The following is a 9,394-nucleotide window of genomic DNA, read 5'->3' on the forward strand; positions in this document are numbered from 1 at the left end:
GAGACTGAGGAAGTAAATCAAGAAATATAGCATATTAGCAAATACATTAAAAGTGAAGCTTTACCGTAGGAAAATATTTGCTATCAACACATAGCTGCCCTCTGAGGGAGGTAAAGATACACTGTATTGAAAGACAAAGAAGGATAAGGACTAGCTAGCTGGATCATTATTGGAAAGCCAACAAACCAAACATTCAGGGGCTAGCCTAATGACATAGCTGCTGACTTGAGAAAAATTAATCCTTCTTTAAAATATTTGATTAAATTGCACAAATGAGAGTCCAACTTAATCAAACCAAATAAATTCTTTCTTGAGCAGCATAAATTATGCTTTTCCTGCTTCGGTGCACATACTCACAGGCTGTCGACTGGCCGTTTTAGAGTGCAGTTCTGCATTTAACTGCTGTGTCATGCCTAATGGAAAATGTACTCAGCAAGATGGTTATTCCATTGAATTTTGGAAGCAGTTAGGAACACTAATAGCCTCTTATTTTTCCAACATGCTTAATGATATAATGAATATAAAATAATTTCATCTACAAATCAACATGACCTTTTTATAACAAAAGAGAAACAAAAGGATCCATTACTTTACAGAAATTCTCGTCTACAGCAGATGTTCCATTGAATTCTATCCTCAGGATTCTATAAAAAGTACAGACTGTGAGGTGAAAAAAGGGTTTTTTCTCTCTCACAATTTTTAATGTTAAATGAGAGTATGAAAACTAGATGATCCAAAGAATTGACAGATACTCCATAATAAAAAATCCTTCAAACTCCATGGATATAGAAAACATAGTAGTAAGTCAATTTTAACATGTACTTTGAAACCAGTTTTATTAGTAATTTTTTAACAAAAGCCAGCATTAATATAATCTTCTAATTTGTTTATACTCCATGATGAGAGAGCCTCCTATTGTTACAATCTGCTGGATTGTCAAGAAACAAAGGAAGACAAACTAAATTTAAAGAAATTTCTCATCAGAAATCTTAAACATTTGAGCAAAACTAATATATGCAGACAATTGAATGGAATTTTCCCATATCGGAATATAGATGACATTTAACATGTATTTGTATGTGAGAAAATCTTTAGACACCTAGTGTAACAAATTATCACCATTTGCAAGGAAAATAGGACACTGTGGCATAAAACAAGGGACTGACACTATTTAAACAGATTTATGCTGTAAGTGAGGTGTTTGGGAGGTGAAGTTATGAGATTAATTGGTCCAAATAAAAGTCACAGTAATGGTTTTTGGAATTTAGATGATCCTTCAGGCTATTGCCTAGGCATTGCTACCTTTCTTGCCCATCTTCTGACTTCTATCACTTCAATACCTTGAACTATACCAGGCTTTAAATTATCTTTGAAGTTACTTGATTTAATCTTTTCTATGAGCTGCAAATCTGCCATGTTTGCTCTGACCTGTCCAAAGAGTCATCTTTCTCCTAAAAAGCAAACATAAATTATGATTTTAGGTGAAAGAAGGGGAAAGAGAAGGAATAAAAGGCAGATGAATAAAACTGATTGAGATAATGCACATGAGGAAATTAGCACTTTGCAGAAGAGCACATTGGAATGCTCAAAGATGTGAGTTGTTATTAGATGAAATGAATTCATGCTTCACAACTTCATTAACTTGTGTTGTAAGAGGCCATTTAGGCCGGGCGCGGTGGCTCACGCCTGTAATCCCAGCACTTTGGGAGGCCGAGGCGGGCGGATCACGAGGTCAGGAGATCGAGACCATCCCGGCTAAAACGGTGAAACCCCGTCTCTACTAAAAATACAAAAAATTAGCCGGGTGTAGTGGCGCGCGCCTGTAGTCCCAGCTACTTGGGAGGCTGAGGCAGGAGAATGGCGTGAACCCGGGAGGCGGAGCTTGCAGTGAGCCGAGATCCCGCCACTGCACTCCAGCCAGGGCGACAGAGCGAGACTCCGTCTCAAAAAAAAAAAAAAAAAAAAAAAAAAAAAAAAAAAAAAAAAGGCCATTTAAAAAGCAATGAAATAATATTAAATTAAATCATGAATATTTATTAAAGAATGTGTACATTTGAATATACATGTTTGAGTTAAAGTGCATTCAGTAAATCACTTTTATTTTTACACCATCAACCGAGAGCTCTCCATGAAAGCTTTTACTCCACGTACTTCATCTCTTCTTGAGGTATTACGTCTTCTGCATCATCTTATGCAACCATTCACAGGAAGAACATTGCTACAATGTTTGCATTATCTTTTTGGTCCCACAAGCCAAAAAAAATTTAAAAAAAACCTTTAAAACCTATGGGTTTGTAAATCCAAGTGGCTTCTGTTAATTCTAATCAATGTATGTGTACCATAATCAGAAGATACATGTGTGAAAGAGAAGAAAATCTATCCTTAGGACATCAGAGAGCAACAATAACAGCAAAATCAATTTAAGCCAGTGAGTGTAAGTATACATATATGTGTGTCTCGGCAGGGGAAATGGGGAGGGAGTATTGTATAGGAGTGTAATCGCACTGATCATAACACATAAAATAAAAGAGAGGCAGCCATTGCATTACCAAACAGAGCAAATGTGCAAGTACCATAGTCATTTGGTTGTCTCTGCACACAAACTGTTTTGATAACATACATCTAGATTAAATTTTATGTAAATATAATTTTTCTACAAGTGTTTGAGTTCTACTCAAGATATTGTAACAGAATTTCACACTTCATTTAAAAAAAAGCCTTTAAAATATAAAGTGTACGTTCATTCTAGATGTCTGTTAAATGTAAGTTGCAGAGATGTAGATAGGAGATAGGTAGAGATTTTAGAGAGAGAGTTTCTGAGAGTTTTTTTTTTTTCACATTTTAAGCTACTCACTGGGTGACAATGTCATGTTGAGATTGTCAGTGTTTTGGAAAGGTCATTTTCCAGGTGCTACTGCTCCAGTCCCCTAATTTGTCATAACTGATGTGATAGACAGACAGATTTTACCATTTGCTTAAGTGTGTGTTAAATCTTCCATATAATAGGCTGATAGCAACCCTGTTCAAGAGCTTGAGTGTTCGTACTTTTTATTGTTTCTTATCTTTGTGGGCATTTTCTGCTTCCTCAGAGGCTTTTTTTCCCAAAGTGACTTTTTTTTTTTCTTTTTCTTTGGCTTCCTTGACCTTCTTTATAGCATAAAGCTCTTAGTTTGCAATTTATTTCAAGGCCACCGTTGCTACCCTCAGTTACGCCATTTTGTCTGTCTGTGTATGTGTGTATGTTTGTTAGAGTGGAGGAGAGGGTGGAGAAGGAGTAGAAATGTGTAACTTATTCTGAAATGAGTTATAGTTTACAAGTATTTTCAAATCTTTGAGAAAATAAATAACTTACAAACTTAATGACCTATTTCATCTATACCTTGTCCTCATCTGAACATGTGAGATGGATTTAAAAAGATAAAATACTTCCCCTGACCCTAGAGGAGCAAAAAACTATATGGCATACAACAAACACCTGTCTGATATTATTGTTGATGACATTTGTCCAGCTAAATAAAGCTTATTTTTCTCAGGCCACAAATGTATTTCTCAAATCCTGGAAAAATGAACAGCAAAAAATAATTCTCTATTCTCCCATCTTCAAAGGCACATGTCTTAAAGTGTAAGTTTTCCTTTAATGAAAACATAGTAAATGGTATTTCTTTAAAATGATTAGCTGAACAATGTTTGACTATGAAACTATAAGAAAGGTTAAGTGTTTTTGTTTGTTTAAGTGATTGATTTAAGAATTTCAGGACACAGTAGGTTGTTTTTGTCATTAAAAATGTTTCCCAACAAAGCAAGTATGCAAGACTTTAGTTAACTCTTTTTCATATCCACAAACTTCTGTTAAAAAAAGAGTTGGGATACTTTTGTCTGTATTTCTCTATTTGAGTTCATTTACAACCAGTATTGTCCAAATGTAAGAACAATCTGTTGGCCTACAAGACATCAGACAAATCCTGTAATATTCAATACAAAAAGTTTTTATATTTTTTGAAGCAAAATGTTGCATGCCATGAGATATAAAGAGATTGTACTTCCAGGACAACTAGCATTCAATTCTATGTCTAGAATTCAGTGAGAATTACATGTATGTTTATTGCAGCACTATTTACAACAGCAAACACTTGGAACCAACCCAAATGCCCATCAATGATAGACTGGATAAAGAAAATGTGGCTCATATACACCATGGAATACTATGCAGCCATAAAAAGGAATGAATTCATGTCCTCTGCAGGGACATGGATGAAGCTGGAAGCCGTCATCCTCAGCAAACTAACACAGGAACAGAAAACCAAACGCCACGTGTTCTCACTCATAAGTGGGAATTGAGAACACATGGACACAGGGAGGGGAACGTCACATACTGGGGCCTGTCGGGTGATGCAGGACAAGGGGAGGGAGGACATTAGGACAAATACCTAATGCATACAGGGCATAAAGCCTGGATGATGGGTTGATAAGTGCAGCAAACCACCATGGCCACATGTATCCTATGTAACAAACCTGCACATTCTGCACATGTATCCCAAAACTTAAAGTCAAATGCAAAAAAAAACTAAATGCCTCTAACAAGACCAAAAAAGAATTATGAGTGAGTTATAAACCTTGGTAATGTGTTTTCTGCCCCCAATTTCAGTTTCTTATTATAATGTGCATCCATAGTTCTTATAAGCTTTTTAAAAGAAAGTCCCTATTTTAAAAGTGTAACCTAAAATAGCTCATACCTGAGAAAATGCTTGCTATTGTTTTAAACAGTTAAAGAGACATGACTCAGCTTATTCTCATTTAGCTAGTATTTTATCCAACAGCTTAAAAATAAAAAACTAATTTTTAATAAGATACAGAAAAAGGAGATTTTTTTGCCTGAGCATAATTGGGAACAGAAGAATGGGAAAGCAGAAATAAACAATGCTGAACAAAAGCTAAAGTAGAGAATAGAAGAGGAAAACAAATAGAAAGCTATAGTTCAATTTGGGATTTCATATCACTGTAGAAGAGGTGCATGGCTGCTAAATACCTAAAAATACATGTAATAAAAATGTTTGTTTTTCCATCTGTCCTTGCTCTTCCCTCTCTCTTCATTCATTAAAAATGGAAGACAAACTAGGTAGAAATGCTGCATTACCATGGGGGTCAGCAAAGTCCTGATCATCAAACCTAGCACAGATTGGGGTTATGGGAAGGTTAAGTAGTAAAATGGGAGAAAATTAACTTGTCAGGAAAAGGCTGTGAAGCTGGCTGGTGAAGGTTGTTAGGTCTCTGTGCATGGTTACAGCACACTGACTCAGGTGCATCAAGCAGGGAGAAGGTCACACCCCTTGAGGCTGGATGACAATCTGCCGATTTAGACACTAGCCCTGGGTCATCCTAGTTTTACTAAGTAATATCTCAAACTGGGAGTTGTCTGACAAGGTGTGTATATGAGGATAAATTCCAGTCAAATGCATTCCAGAAACAACTTCTTTTTCTGTTCTGTTAACTGCAGGACATTTGTTTAATTAGATAATGTGCAATGAAATGCAAGAAAATGCCTATTGCTGAATAGTCATGAGAAGAGAAAAAATATTTGCCTTTCTTTTTTAAAACACAGGATGTTAAATTCTCTTTAGTTAAGATGGTAACTTATTTTCATGTTCCATATCTAAATGTATCTCTTTGAAGCACAGGTAGATTTTTTTAAAGTACAACCTATTAGATTGGCAAAAATGAAGACTTTTAAAACATAATATATTTGGTAAGGCTGAGGGAGCTAGGTAGTGTCAAATACTGCTGATGGGAAAGCAAACTGTTACATCACCTATGAAACGAAATTTAGCACTACACAGCAAAATTGTATGTGAATATAAGATCTCATTTCTAAAAATCACCCCTAAAATACACTGCAAAAAATACAAAGACAGATAATCATGAAGCTATTCACTGCAGGCTTATTTGTGATAGCAGAAGACTGGAAACAACTCATATGTCCTTAGTAGGGTTCCAGTTGAATAAGCAATGGTACAGTCAAACAAAGGAGCATGCAGTTCTGAAAGAACAGGAGAAATATTTTTATACATTGCTGTGCAACTATCTCCAAATTTATTATTAGGTGAAAAAAGCAAAAAGGAGAAGGCATGTATTGTACGCATCTACTAATTTAATAAGGAGGTGAGATTAAAATACACATGTATTTTTTCATACTGCAAATAAATCAACATTGAAATACAAAGTTACTGATGGGGAAAGGAGGAGGAAGTGGAAAGGACAGAAATAAAAGTTAGATTTTCCTGAATGTATCTTCTTTTGCAGATTTGATTTTGTCACTATGTAAATATTTTACATTACTAATTACGTTAAATCTTTAAAATGGAATTCTTAACAAAAAGGAGCAAATAAATCTAACTGCATGGAGGTAGTGACACAACCACACAGGGAAGAGTTATTTCAAGTGACTTTGGCATAGCATAGTTTGATTATTTATTCATTATGAGACAGACATACCTGAAAAACAAAACTTTGGGTATAGGAAATTTGGGTATAAAAATTACTTTTACTATTTTTATTGTTGGTATTTATTCTGAGATTATTTGCTACCTTTGTGGAATTGAACATATATTTCATTATGTTGGTATTACTGGTAATTAGTATTTTTAGCATGGGGGAAGGAGATAGGGACACAAGATCAATGAGGTGAGTAAAAACTCTGTAGCTCTGAATTTGCATTTGAAATATCAGAAGGAAGGAACTCATACTGCATTTTATCCTAAAAGGAACCACAGCTTTTAGAGAAACGAAGGATTCTGTTTCTGGAATGAGAAATGTTCAAGATGAGCCTGGAATATCATGCCATGCCAGGAAGTAAAGAGACTTTCAAAACCTGTGGAGTTGTATCAAAAGAACTAAGGTGTAATTTAACGAGTCTTTCACTTGTCAAGATAATGAATTTATACATGAGTGGAAACAGTAACTGTAATGATTGGAATATATAAAATGTATTAATTTCCATGAATTCATAATAATAATAAAGATAAAATGGATTGGATCAACTTTGTTGGATGCTGTAACAATGAATTTTAGCAAAAAGTGATAAAGAAATGTATCAAACTGCATTTTCCAAGACGATAGCCACAAGATTTACCGTCTCATGTGATCGTACAATGTAAATTTTCATTCTTCCCACTGGGGTGTGTGGTCCATGCTCCCTCCCCTAAATTTGGTGGACCTGTGATTTTGGTCTGTGATTTCCAAGACTAGGTCATAAAATATGATACAGCTGTTATTCTTAAAAATCAACCACTATGCTGGAGAAAGCCACTGGCTAGAGTGGAAGTGGACATGTGTAGGTGTTTCAGATGACAAACCCACTTGAAATCTTCCATACAGGTGAGTAAGGATGAGCCTTCAAGATGACTTCAGCCCCAGTCACGGTCTGACTGCAACCATATGAGAAACTCCAAGTGTGAATCAACTACCTGAATGCAGAACTGTGAGAGATAATAGTAACATAATTGGTATTGGGTTTTTGTTTGTTTTGTTTTTTGAGACAGGGTTTCCCTCTGTCACCCAGGCTGAAGTGCAGTGAGCAGTTATGGCTCACTGGAGCCTTGACTCCCAGGCTCAAGTGGTACTCCCACTTCAGTGTCCTGAGTAGCTGGAAGGTACAAGCCACTATGCCTGGCTAATTTTTGTATTTTTTGTAGAGATAGGGTCTTGCTCTGTTACCCAGGCTGTTCTCAAACTCTTGGGCTCAAACAATCTTTCAGCCTCAGCCACTCAAAGTGTTGAGATTATAGACATGAGCCACCACACCTGGCATGGTATTGTTTTAAAGTACTAAGTTTTGGGGTGTGTTAGCCACAGGTAACTGCAATATATTAGGGGGAAATCAAGCATTTGTTGTGCTTTTCCTATACAACAAGTAAGTGACAAGAATAAATTTTTAAATCTGTATTTTATCTAATAAATGTAGAAAAATGGTAGAATTTGAATATCATCGTGAATAGATTCAGGCAATGATCACTATATTAGTCCGTTTTCATGCTACTGTTAAAGATGTACTCAAGACTGGGCAATTTATAAAAGGAAGAGGTTTAATTGGACTTACAGTTCCACGTGGCTGGAGAAGCCTCAGAATCTTGGTGGAAGGCAAGGAGGAGCAAGTCACATCTTACCTGGATGGCAGCAGGCAAAGAGAGAGAGCTTGTGCAGGGTAACTCCTCTTTCTAAAACCATCAGATCTCACTATCACAAGAACAGCATGGAAAAGACTTGCCCCCATGATTCAATTACCTCCCACTGGGTCCCTCCCACAACATGTGGGAATTCAACATGAGATTTTGGTGGGGACACAGCCAAATCATATCATTCTGCCTCTGGCCCCTTCCAAATCTCATATCTTCACAGTTCAAAATCAATCACGCCTTTTCAACAGTCTCCTAGAGCCTCAACTAATTTCAGCATTAACTCAAAAGTCCACAGTCCAAAGTCTCATGCAAGACAAGGTAAGTCACTTACACCCACGAGTCTGTAAAAGCAAGTTAATTACTTCCTAGATGCAATGGGGGGTACAGGCACTCCAAATGGGAGAAATTGGACAAAACAAAGGGGATACAGGCCCCATCCAAGTCCCAAATCCATGGGGCAATCAAGTCTTAAAGCTACAAAATGATCTATTTTGACTCCATGTCTCACATTCAGGTCACACTGACGCAAGAGGTGGGTTCCCGTGGTCTTGGGCAGCTCCACCCCATGGCTTTGCAGGGTACTGCCTCCCTCCTCCCTCCTGAGTGCTTTCATGAGCTGGCATTGAGTGTCTGCAGCTTTTCCAGGAACATGGAGAAGCTGTCAGTGGATCTACAATTCTGGGGTCTGAAGGACTGAATGCTTTTAACAGCACCCAAGTCTTATGTTGAATGCTTTGCTGCTTAAAAATTTCTTCCACCAGATACCCTAAAATCATCTCTCTCAAGTTCAAATTTCCGCAAATCTCTAGGGCAGGGCAAAATGCCACCAGTCTCTTTGCTAAAACATAACAAGAGTCACCTTTGTTCCAGTTCTCAACAAGTTCCTCATCTCCGCCTGAGACCACCTGAGCCTGGATTTCATTGTCCTTATCATTATCAGCATTTTGGTCAAAGCTATTCCATAAGTCTCTAGGAAGATCCAACTTTCCCAAGTTTTCCTGTCTTCTTTTGATCCCTCCAAACCTGTTTCAACCTCTGCCTGTTACCCAGTTCCAAAGTTGCTTCCATACTTTTGGGCATCTTTTCATCAATGCCCCACTCTCCTGATACCAATTTACTGTATTAGTCAGTTTTCACTCCACTGATTAGGATATACTCGACACTGGGCAATTTACAAAATACATAGGTTTAATTGGACATAAAGTTCCACATGGCTGGGGAAG

The 9,394-nt window shown here is 36.9% G+C and overlaps 1 annotated feature.

Moving 5' to 3' along the window:
* Positions 6,998-8,197: an enhancer, noted in NCBI's record as "P300/CBP strongly-dependent group 1 enhancer chr12:59587037-59588236 (GRCh37/hg19 assembly coordinates)". NCBI's record gives its function as "activates an origin of replication core promoter dependent on BRD2, BRD4, P300/CBP, MED14 and CDK7 cofactors, with strong dependence on P300/CBP, by STARR-seq in HCT116 cells {active_cell/tissue: HCT116}" and the evidence as "EXISTENCE:reporter gene assay evidence [ECO:0000049][PMID:35650434]".

Source organism: Homo sapiens, chromosome 12 (assembly GCF_000001405.40).
Source record: "Homo sapiens chromosome 12, GRCh38.p14 Primary Assembly".
Classification (NCBI taxonomy): Eukaryota; Metazoa; Chordata; class Mammalia; order Primates; family Hominidae; genus Homo; species Homo sapiens.